At 33.9% G+C, this 12,994-nt stretch overlaps 1 long non-coding RNA gene across 2 annotated transcripts in view; it reads right to left on the bottom strand.

Moving 5' to 3' along the window:
* Positions 1–1,191: 1,191 nt before the first annotated feature.
* Positions 1,192–12,994, bottom strand: part of LOC105378961 (uncharacterized) — a 30,013-nt gene continuing 18,210 nt past the window's right edge. For both annotated transcript variants that reach the window (XR_948318.2, XR_948317.2), the window contains exons 3-4: positions 6,303–6,422; positions 1,192–1,486 (exon numbers count right to left, since the gene is read on the bottom strand). This is a non-coding gene — a long non-coding RNA (uncharacterized LOC105378961). The remainder of the gene's footprint in view (positions 1,487–6,302; positions 6,423–12,994) is intronic.

Genomic DNA, 12,994 nt, shown 5'->3' with positions numbered 1-12,994 from the left:
TAATAATAAATTAATTTTAAGAATGTTTTTCTAAAAGAGTCAATGACTGTATTTTTATGAGATTTAAAATATTTTTAAATTTATGTGCTCATTTTAAAATTTAGATTCATCTATAATATTTTAAATTAAAGAATAAAACAATTTAAGATCTTATTCCAAAAAAGATGAGAAAATAACTAATATTTTTAAATGGAAAAATTACATTTCTAATTCAATAAGGTAATTGAAGTGCATGATAATTTATACAAATTTGGTATTTTAGATCATAATTTATCAAATTCAGATTCTGTCCATAGTATCAATAATATATCATGTCTGATTTATTGTTCATTTACATAATATGTTTATTTTAATTACATTCAATAGCTTTACATACAGAAGCTGATATACATTTCTTATTTTTATTTACATACCTGTTTACAAACTAAAATTTTATTCCAAAGCCTTGAGTTCTATCAAATAGATATTTTTCTGATGATGGATAATATAATAGGTTATTTATATGTCAAAATAAAATTAGACCCGTCCCACTCAAGCTCACCATGTTATAACTTTATCAAAACATTTATCCAATAGGAAAATGTTTCAATTTTTAACATTTGAGATAATCCAATAAATGTATTAATATTCTAAGGCTAAATTTTAAATTGAAGAACTTTTCATTTCTTGAATTTCTAACTCATTTTTCTTTCTTTTCAGTTCCCCCTTACAGAGGGCACTAACATTTTTATCTTTTGATTTAACATAAACATGGAATTTCGTAGAAAGAAATGATTTAAACAGCAATTATATAACTAAAAAGATAAACTGCTTTTCTTTTCCACAAATAAAAAGGGTTATAAAAATGACCTACACAATAATCTCTTTCCTGATTAAATTTCTCATTTTACTTTATTCAAATTTAGGAAAATCAACCATTTTTTACCTGGTATTTCCAATCCCATTTTTATTTATAATTTAAGTATTCTGTATGATTTCTTTAATACACAAACATGAGTGTAATTAATAAAGTAAAGTTCTTTGAAAATAGTTTTTTGGCAGGTACATGCAGACCTTCAATTTCAAAAACACACTTGAACAGTAATTATAAATAATGGTTTAGTGTCCCAGAGGGTCTTGTCAGTGCAATCATTTATCTGTGTAAAAGTCTGTCTTAAATTTTGAATAAAAACCAAGGCACTAAATGTCTGGATTAAATGCTGACTTCTCTGAAGCTAAAAAAGGCATGTCTACCAATTTTAGTTGCTTTTCTTTTATTTGGCATTCATACACTGTTTCCCCTTAACGTGACAGTCTAAAGCAGACAAAGAAAAAGAGGCACTACACTTTTAGAGAGCACAAGTGACTGACATTAGGACCTCTTGACTGTGTGTCTTGCAGTCAGGGACATCCAGAGTGGTGCAGGTGGGGCTTGCACAAGGCCAAGGAACATCTGCTTTGCCACGATGAGAGTCAATGATAGTGCTCTGTGTTATCCTGCAACAAGCTTGAAGGTTAGGAAAAAAAAAAAAAAACAGAAAGAAAAGAAAAGGTTGTAGAAATTTCTATCACAAACAGAGCTAGTGCCAGCAGGTGAGACTGTAGCCCATTTGCGCATGAAGAGCTCCCTTAACAAATAAAATCATATTTTCTTTTCAATGTAATCCACAAAGATGAAGGGCAGAGAGTATCATCTTGGATCAGAGAACAAAAAAGATAGAAATAAAACAAATCTGATACATCCTAAGTAGCACTACTCTTATCACTTCTCAGAATATGTATTAAATACCTCATTTCAGCCAAGCCCTGACTGAGCTATCGCGAAAGAGCTGCTGTAAAGAGCTGCTGGTTTGTTGCAAATGTTGTACCTAACAAATAGATTGATGGTTGAGACTTGGCTCAGATATTTAAAATAATATGTTGTTTTTCTGAACATTTTCACATCTTGGCATATTACTCTCACATTTTGCCTGGATTCTTCTACTGTGATCCGTGGAGATGTTCCTTTCTAGAGAGTCTATGGGCACCTTCAAGGATGGGAGGGTATTTTTGACATCTCTGGTCATTAGCAATTATGCCTGGCAATAAGTGTTTGTTAAATGAACCTAATAATCTTAAAAGAATGTGCTCATTCTTCTAATTTGATTTTACTTGCTCATCAGAAAGTCAATACAGATCATCTAAAATATAAATCTTAAAATATTTTGTTTTATTTTGCTTTACTGGAAAACACAGTGCAAAAATCAATTAAATATTTAATTTTATTTAAACATGTTTATTTTGTAGTGTTCTTGTTAAAACTAATTTTGGCTTCTGTGAGGAGACAAGGAGCATGGTATTCCAACTTAGAATGCACTAATAATCTATTTTGTAGCTTCCAAAAATATGAGAAGTGTTCTCAAAAATGATCTTGCAGGGCTGGGCGCGGTGGCTCACGCCTGTAATCCAAGCACTTTGGGAGGCTGAGGCAGGCAGATCATGAGGTCAGGAGATCGAGACCATCCTGGCTAACAAGGTGAAACCCCATCTCTACTAAAAAAAAATACAAAAAATTAGCCCGGTGTGGTGGCGGGCACCTGTAGTCCCAGCTACTCGGGAGGCTGAGGCAGGAGAATGGCGTGAACCTGGGAGGCAGAGCTTGCAGTGAGCCGAGACCATGCCACTGCACTCCAGCCTGGGCGACAGAGAGAGACTCCATCTCAAAAAAATAAAAAATGATCTTGCAGGAGTATGTTCCATGGGTTTTCAAGACACGTATGAAATTCCAATGAACATCAGCAAGTCCCATTTCAATGATCTTACATAATGATATAGAAGCTAAAACAAAGATGATTTCTTCTAGATTGCTGAAAACATTTAAAAATTCACTATGTATTTTCAGTCTCTATATTTTTTATGGTCTGAATGTTTGTACCTCCTCCAAATTTATATGTTGAAACCTAATCACCAGTGTGATGGCATTGGGATGTGGGGCCTTTGGGAGGTGATTAGGTCATGAGAGCAGAGCCCACGTGAATGGTATCCAACCTTTAAAAAGAGTCCCCAGGGAGCTGCCTTTTGTTTTTCACTATGTGAGGATGCAGAGAAAAGTCCCCTTATATGAACTAGGAAATGGGCCTTCACCAGACACCAAGTCCACTGGCACTTTGACCTTGGACATTCCACCCTCTGGAATGGAGAGAAACCAATTTATGTTGTTTATAAACTACGTAGTCCATGGTACTTTGTTGTAGCAATCCAACTGGACTAAAACAAATTTTTTTTTTTTTTTTGAGACCCAGCCTCGCTCTGTCACCCAGGCTGGAGTGCAGTGGTGTGATCTTGGCTCATTGTAAGCTCCACCTCCCAGGTTCATGCCATTCTCCTGCCTCAGCCTCCCCAGTAGCTGGGACTACAGGCACCCGTCACCACGCCCGGCTAATTTTTTGTATTTTTAGTAGAGACAGGGTTTCACAGTGTTAGCCAGGATGGTCTCGATCTCCTGACCTCGTGATCTGCCTGCCTCCGCCTCCCAAAGTGCTGGGATTACAGGCGTGAGCCACCGCACCCAGCCTAAAAGAACATTTTAATCCTCAAAACAGAATATTTAAGGATATCAAATTGGGGTAGAATAGCAGCATCTGAATTTCTACACTGACCAAATATAGTTTTTTTTTTCATATTAAAGCTTCATAAAGAGATTGTACATTTATTATTTCAACACTACTGTTGAATTATTTTAAACCCTTCTGGGCTGCCAATAAGCAAACCCAACTACACAATAAATGAGAAACCCACATACCATTCCCATGATAAACTCAAAGAAAATTTTCTCCAAGACAAATAAAGGATAAGATTATATTTTAATTAAATATTATTGTATGTATTTTGATAAGTGCACCATAAAGAACTGCTTATATTGAGCTGATATTTTTATACATTATAGATTTTAAGAATTATTTTAACTCATAAACATCTTTTTTAAAATTACTCAATTTAATATTTTAAACCAAAGTTCAAAAGAGGTATCTTTTTGCTGTTGTTGTTGGGGTGTGCTGATTCTGGGTATTTCTGTAAGCCTTTGTACATATTACAATTACAACCCTACTGAAATGCACTGTCTGAGCTTTCTAAGCCAATTATGAATCTTGGAAGTGCAGCTCTGCTTCCTGACCAAAAGGAAGCCACCCAAGCACAATATTATAACTCCTTAGAGAGTAATTTTTCCATAATGGGTTTTACTTGAGTGACTCATACTGATTATATAAGATGCAACACAATTAAATACGCTTCTGTGTGGCTTTGCACACATGCAGTTGCTTCCTCAAATAACCTTAAAAAAGGAACAAGTAACGGCATACAGATTACCAATAGCCACTTCAATGGAGAAGCGTAGAAGAGGCTAGATAGGACAAGAAGAACTTTAGCAGAGGGAAACAGCAAGGCTCAGGAAAAAGAGGTTGATTGTTTCTTTAAGGTTAGGAGTCATAAGGCTGATGGAGAGATGGGGGTTAGAGATATGATTTGAAAAGAGCCAATTAAGTCCAGAGAGGCAGGGAAGTGGTTCCAGATGGCAGGTAAAACACAGGAGAAAGGGAAAGTGGTGGAGTGGGTAGAGGTGAAGAGGGTGAAGAGGGGGCCTTGAGAAAGAAACTAGGGAGGCTTTTAAATCTGAATTTAATGACAGAATAAAACAAGTACAAAAAAGCCAATGTTCTGAAACAATTTTCAATAACAATCTAATGTAATTCAAGTTCAGAATTTTAAGTATATTTGCAGCTGAGAGGTCCAACAGCATAATCCTTCACAAGAAGCTTCTTTTTCCTGCCCTAGCCTCCCTCCATCACCACCAAAACCTATGACATATACACACAAAAAATCACATGACTTATAGCCCACATTTTGAAAGAGGCTGGTATATTTTTCAAGGTTGTTTAACTCTGTAAGCATGAGATTTACATGTATTACAGGAAAATAAAAATGAATTTATAAACCCATGTTTTCCAGACTTGGGTTGAATTTCCCATGGCAACCTACCAATTTTCCTTATGGGGTTTAAGAGGTAAGGGAGGAAGAAACTTCATGTAAAAATGCCCTTGATCGCTACTCTTTGTTCAGACAGTAGAGACGGCCCTTCTTAGAACAGCAGAGATTTTCCCCAATACAACACTCAATCTGTTTTCCCAAATGACAGCCCTCTTTGAGTATTAACTGCCAGAGGTGGAGAGCAAATACTTTTTTGTTTCTGCTCTTCTATGGGGTGGCATTCTCAACAGTAGAAGTCAATGGCACTGAGTAAACCTGGTTCCATTGAGAGCGTAAGTATTTATTAAATATGTACTGGTTTAACTTTTTATTGGGTATCTATTATGGAGTAAGCCCTGTGCTGTGTAATACGGATGCAGTGACCAGTTAGGCAAAGTATTCTTCAGAAGTGTATACACAAGTGAGGGCATAGAATTCAGAAGACAGCTACAAAGCCAAATAAGAGAAATGGTAAGGGTAAATAAAAGGGTAACACATAAAACTAATGCTTATTCGTTGATGAGACATCAAGAACAGTTTCCATGATAAGTAGATCCCAGTAGCTTTAAGAATCCATACTATGCACAAGAACCCAAGGACAGAAACAATAGTTTCCAGGAGTTAACAGTAGCTGTTCAAGTTGCCTGGTCTCACAACAGTATATTTTAGCTCTTTTTAAAAGCTTTGGAAGCTTTGGCTACCGGTCAGTGTAACTTATTAAGCCACTCTCAGAATCACTTTCTCAGTATTATTGCCTCTGCAGAGAAAGAGTCTGGCTGAGAAGCCTTGAGTGTCAAATATACTAATGCAACTAACATAATAAAAATGTCCCCAGAGACATAATCTGGTGTAAGGCAGAGTAATATCAAAGTTTTAAAAAGCTTTATTGACTCTTTTTCTTAAATGTTCCAGATCAGTGGTTCCCAAACTTGGCTTCATAGTAGAATTGTCTGGGGAGATTTTTGTAAAAAGACAGATACTTGCACACACAATTCCAACCATCACCCAGAGACCTGTTACACAGCAGTGGTCAATGAAGCAATTCTAGGAATATACATATATAAGCTAGATTTCACGTACGTTAAACTCCCTTTTCAAAAATGCAGGTTTAGGATTTGGCAAATACTGGTTCAGGGAAAAAAATAATTGGCATTTGGAGACAGCAGTAAATTCTCCATTTGCCGCTAAGTTACTGTTTTCTTCTCTATGACTCAGGATCCAACATTCAGCACTGGCACAGGACAACATTAACCAGAGACGTCTACTCTCCTGACCAATGAGGTGCAGACTCCAGGGCAATGCTTCACCACAACTCTTACCTGATGTACTCAAAGACGATTGCATCCAGATGCCATCAACAAAAGTCTGAGTTTTGCCCTTGCCAGTACCAGAGATGGATAATGCTTCACTGTGTAGGGAGGATTTGAATGGCGAAGAGCCTGGATAGGAGAAAAGACAAGTTAATTAACCTGTCAAATCATTCTGTTCAGAGAACATAAATTCAAAGGAAATTGCATAATGAAATAACATTTCCATTTTCTTGGTTTTTTTTGTATTCTGATTCATTGTTCAAGAGGTACCTACAAATTAGTATGGTTTTGGCAAAGATCAGATATAATGTCTGAGGAATTTTGCAATGTAAAACAAGTTATATGATTCTTAAATTTGTATGTGCTTAGGACTAACAGGAAATGTAATTCTGATCCTTTACAATGGTTACTAGATAGATATCAAATACTAGAACATATATGAAAAATGTTTATAATAGGCGTAAAAAAATTAAAGACCTCTGTAATGTAAAAGAAGATGTTTAAAAAGTTATTTACATTTACTAAATTACACTCTTAATAACAATGCAGAATTTATTTTAAATATAATTATGTTTCAAATTTCTAATCCTTTAGCTAAAGGATTAGCAAGCTATGGTCCACTGCCTGTTTTTGTAAATAAAGTTTTATTGAAACACAACTTCTCTCTTTGTTTACTTGTTGTTGACGGCTGCTTTTGTGCAACAACAGCAAGGCTGAGTAGTTGTAATACACTGCATGTTTCTCAAAGCATAAAATACATATTATCCGACCTCTTTACAGAAAATATTTGCGGACCCCTGCTTTAGACCATTACTTGAATCAGATGTAAAATATGTCAAAATCTCCATAAAACATCATAGCAAAATTAACACTGAAAAATCGCCAAAATTAAGTAAATGTTTTATGAAATAAAATATATGTTTTATGAAATAAAATAAAGTTAATAATTTATTAACTATGTGTCTGTATTTCAATTTCATTTCTAAACATTGCCAATAAAACCAAAAGCCTTTCACACACATGGACAAGAATAATTAACTCAAAACCTCTTTAATATTTTGCTGAATCATATAAAAATTCTACATTTTTTTGGTTGTTTCCTCAGTTTAACAAGTTGGGATGATGGACTGCATTTTATTTAACAATTTGTTAGTTTGATTCATAACTTTTAAATATTTAGAAATATGCTATGTAACCTCATTTGTACTCTTACCTAGGCTCCACCAAAGTTTCCACCTGGCCTCTAGGCTATATTTCATGCCTCAGTCATACCAGAGAGTACACCATTGTGCAAGAAACGCACTCTGGAAGATCCAGTTGTAAACTTTGGTCAAGCCCAGAAAGCAAGATTTCTAAATTGTCGTGGCATTATCAATCAAGTATGAACTGTCCTCCTTCCATGCTCTGTCTGTACGGGCCTTCAAATCAATCTAACTGAAGTGAGAATAGAAGGGGGTGATAGAAGGAATGGTTCCCTCCCACAACAAGAGATAGCCAGCCTGCAAGATAGCCAGGCCTGGATACATAGAAGGAGGAAGTGTCATTTTAAATCAAATCTGACTTTTGCTTTTATCTAGGCGTGTCTATGATGCAACTTAAAGTAAGTTAATATTTCTTGTTACTTAAGAGTGACTAGGTAAGTAATGAGACCCCACTGTATAAAATTAATGGGAGACATAAATAAAGGTGCTTTGTGAGTACAAACCATCAGTCACATTCACAAAACCTAACAGTTTATATATATATATGTATGTGTGTATGTGTATATATATTTGTGTGTGCATATATATATACATATATATATATATATATATATATCCCAAGGACTTATATAAATGTTTCACTCATGAGTCACATTCATAAAACCTAACTGTGTGTGTGTATATATATATATGTGTGTGTGTATTTATATATGCATGCGTGTATATATATGCATACATGTATATATGTGTGTGTGTGTGTGTGTGTGTGTGCATGTATATACAAATATCCCAAAGACTTACTCTAAAATAGGTCATAGGATAGTGCTTAAGATTCCAGAATCGGACAATCTTGCCTAGAGTTGAGCTCCAGGTTCACTACTTAAACTTGTGGCCTTGGGCAAGTTATGTATCTTCTCTGTGCCTCAAAAAGGCAAAAAAAACCAAAACCAAAACAAAACAAAACAAAAAACAGGGAAGAACATAAGCAAATGAACTGTAGCAAATAAGTGTTGTGAATACTGAATGAGTTAATAAATGCCCAGTGTTTAGAGTAATACCAACACAGCAAAGTGAGCTGGAAATGTTTGCCATTTTTATTTCTTAGTTTTTACTATTTATTGCAATAAAATATAACCATCATAGAGTGAGAGAACAAATCTCAAGCGTAGAAGTCAATGAGTTTTTACAGATGTATACACCTATCTAAATACTGAGATCCATATAAAAATATTTCTCCAATTTACACTCCCAGAAGCAATTTATGGGAGTTTTAGTTGTTTCGCAGTATCGTCAAAACTTGATGTTGATATTCTCTTTAATTTCAGTCATTCTAGTGTGAATGTGGTAATATCAAAAGAGAGTTGATTTTACATTTCGATTAGAAATGAAGACTGAAGACTTGTGATGTTTAGAGTCAAATATGTTTATTGTCCATCTGGATATCCTTGTTAGTGAAGTGTCTGATCAAGCTTGTGCCCATTTGAGTTTTGAACGTTCTGTTCTGTTCTTTTTGTTTTTAAGCGTTCTTTACACTGGATATGAATGCATTTTGCATATATGTATTGCACATATGTCCTCTCAATCAGTGGCTTACCTTTACAGCCTTTTTAAAAAATCTTTTTTAATGGAGAAAAACTATCCTAAATATTAACAAAGTCAAATGTATTTTTTTTTAGTTATATAGTTGGTTGTTTTGTCTCCTGTAAGAAATATTTTTCTATTCCAAGGTTGTGAAAATATTTCCCTTTGTTTTCTTCTAGACATTTTTTTCTTTTACCTTTCTGAATTAAATTTATGATCTTTCTTCAATAATGTGAGTGGTGAGATGGCGTCAAAGTTTATAGTTTTAACGTAATAAACTTTGTTTCAGATAAGTTTTAGGTTCACAGCAAAATAGAATGGAAAACATGGAGTCCCACATACCCACTATCCTCACACACAAACAACCTCCCCCACTATCAAGATCTCACACCAAAGATGTACATTTGTTACAGTGGATAAATGTACATTGATAAATCATTATCACCCAGAATCCAGTTTACATTAGGGTTCATTTATGGTGTTGTACATTCTATGGGTTTTGACAAAGATGTAATGACATGTTTCTGCTTGTATGGAATAGCTGTATTGCCTAAAAATCCTGTTCTGCCTATTCATACCTTCTTCCCTGCAAACCCTTGGAAACAATTAATACTTTTTACTGTATCCATATTTCTGTCTTTTCCAGAATATCAAATAGTGTAAATAATAGAGCATGTAGCCTTTCAAACAGGCTTTTTTTAACCTAGTATATATGTATTTAGATTTTCTCATATCTTTACATGGCTTGATAGCTCATATATTATTTTAACACTGAATACTATTTTATTTTCTGGTTGTGCCGGTTTATTTATCCACTCCCATACTGAAGGACATCTTGGTTGATTCCAAGATCTGACAGTTATGAATAAAACTGCTATAAAGATCTCTATGCAAGTTTGTATAGTGAATATAAGTTTTCAAGTCATTTGGATAAATATCAGAGAGCATGATTGCTGGGTCATATGGTAAGAGTATGTCGAATTTTGTAAGAAACTCCTAAACTGTCTTCCAAAGTGGCTCTACCATTTTTCATTCCCACCAGCAATGAACGTGAATTCCTGTTGCTCCACATCCTTGACAGCATTTGTTGCTGTCAGTATTTTGGATTTTTGCCATTTTGGAAAATGTCTAAATTCATTTTTAGCATGAATATCCAGCTGTCTCTGTACCATTGTTTCAAAAACAATATTTTCTTCCTTGTATTTTATTTCCTTCTTTCTCAAAGGTCAGATGAGTATATTTATGTTTGTCTTTTTCTTGACTGTGTATTCTATTCCATTGAAAAATTGATCTATTCTTTCACTAGTACTACACTATCTTTATTATTCTAGCTTTATCATAACTTTTGAAGTCAGGTGGTATCAGTCCTCCAACTTTGTTCTTCTCTTTCAATGTCATGTTAGCTATTTTGGAGATTTGCCCCTCCATATAAATTTTCGAGTCAGTTGTACAATATCTCCACAAAATAACTTGCTGGGATTCTGATTGTGATTGGATTGAATCTATAGATCAAGTTGGGTAGAACTGGTATCTTGGCAATATCATATCTTCCTATCCATGAATATGGAATCCTTTTCATTTACTTAGTTCTTGATTTTTTTCATGAGACTTTTATAATTCTCCTTAAATAGATCTTCCACATATTTTGTTAGATTTACATCTAAGCATTTGTTGGGATACTAATGTAAACGGTATTGGTTTTTCATTTTAAATTCTAAGTTTTCAATGTTGTATATAGGAAAATGATTAACTTTTGTATATTATTCTTGTATCCTTCAAACTTGCTGTAATCATTTATTAGTTTCAGGAGTTTTTTCATCAATTCTTTTAGATTTTCTACATAGACAGTCATGTCATCTGCAAAGAAGGGAGTTTTGTTTCTTTCTTCTAGGTATGTAGACTTTCTATTTCCTTTTCTTATGTTATTTCATTAGCTAGAATTTCCAGTAGGATATTGAAAAGCAGTGGTAAAGGGGAACATCCTTTCTTTATTTTTTATCTCAGTGGAAAAGCTTCAGGTTTCTTACTGTTAATTATGATGATAGCTGTAGATTTTTTGTAGACATTCTTTATTAAGTTAATGGAGTTACTCCTTTATTTTTAGTTTACTGCTAGTTTCTGTCATAATGTGGTGTTGGATTTTATCAAATGATTTTCTGTATTTATTGATATAATAACATGCTGTTTCTCCTTCAGCCTGTTGATGTAACCCATTGCATTAAGTCACTTTTGAATGTTGAAATATTCTTGCATGTCTGAGATGAATCTCATTTGGCCAAGGTGTATAATTCTTTTTACACATTATTGAATTTACTTGCTAATATTTAGTTGAAGATTTTTTCCTGTCTGTACCAATATTGATCTGTATCTTTTTTTTTTTTTTTTGCTTGTAATGTCTTTGTCTCATTTGGTTTTAGTGTAATGTTAGTCTCATAGAATGAAGCAGAAAGTCTTCCCTCTGAATCTATATTATAGAAGAGATTGTAGAGAATTGGCAACATTTTTTTTCTTAAATGTTTGGTGCAATTTATGAGAATTCTGGTTCTGGTACTTTGTGCTTTGAAATATTATTAATTATTGATTTAGTTTTTAAGTAGATATAGGCCTATTTAGATAATCTATTTCTTCTTTTGTGAGTTTTGGCATATTGTGTCTTTCAATAAATTAATTTATTCCATCTATGTTAACAAATTTTGTGGCATAGAGTTGATCATAATATTCCTTTATTATTATTATTTTATTAGATGGGGTCTTGCTTTGTTGCCCTTTTTTAGTGCAGGGACATGATCACTGCAACCTTGACCTTCTGGGTGATCCTCCCAACTCAACCTCCCAAGTTGCTGGGACTACAGGGGTCTGCAACCATGTCTGGTTAACTTTTTATTTTTTATAGAGACAGGGCGTCACTATGTTGCCCAGGCTGGTCTCAAGCTCCTGAACCCAAGTGATCCTACTACCTCAGCCTCTAAAAGTGCTGGGATTACAGGCATAAGCCACGACACCCAGCCCCTTTATTATTATTTTAATGTCCATGGGATCTAAACTGATATCTCTTATTTTATTTCTGATACTAGTAATTGATATCCTCTCTCTTTTTTTCTCAGTCTAATTAGAAGCTTATTGCTTTTATTGATCTTTTCAAAAAACCAACATTTTATTTTATTGATTTTCTCTATCCATTTTCTATATTCAATTTTATTGATTTCTGCTCTAATTTTTATCACTTCTTTTATTCTGCTTACTTTGGATTTAAATTATTCTTCTTTTTCCTAAGGCAGAAGTTTAGTGTCCTAAGGTAGAAGTTTAGATGATTGATTTTTAGCTCTTTCTTCTTTTTTATTACATGCATTCAATGCTGCAAATCACTCTCTAAGCATTGCTTTCACAATGACATGATTGTCTATGTAGAAAATCTGAAAGAATTGATGAATAAACTCCTGGAACTAAGTGATTACAAGAATAATATACAAAAGTTAATCACTTTCCTGTACACAGCATTAAAAACGTAGAATTTAAAATTAAAAACAAATAGCACTTACATTAGTATCCTAACAAATGCTTAGATATAAAACTAACGTGCTTTCATCCAACAAATTTTAATGAGCTGGGTTTTATTGTCATTTAATTCAAAATATTTTTAAATTTTTATTGAAATGTCTTATTTGACTTATCAGGTATTTAGAAGTGTGTTGTTTAGAGTCCAAGTATTTTGGTATTTTTCAGCTATTGAATTCTAGTTTAATTTCACTGTGGTCTGAAAGCAGACATTATACAACACTCTTTTAAATTTGTTAAGGTGTGTTTAAGACCCAGAATGTGGTCTATGTGAATGTTCCACGTGATCTTGAGAAAAAATTAGTATTCTGCTATTGTTGGATGAAGTAGTGTGTAGATCTTGATTATATACAATTGATTGAT

Source organism: Homo sapiens, chromosome 5 (assembly GCF_000001405.40).
Source record: "Homo sapiens chromosome 5, GRCh38.p14 Primary Assembly".
NCBI lineage: Eukaryota > Metazoa > Chordata > Mammalia > Primates > Hominidae > Homo > Homo sapiens.
This window is presented reverse-complemented; position numbering and strand designations above follow the sequence as displayed.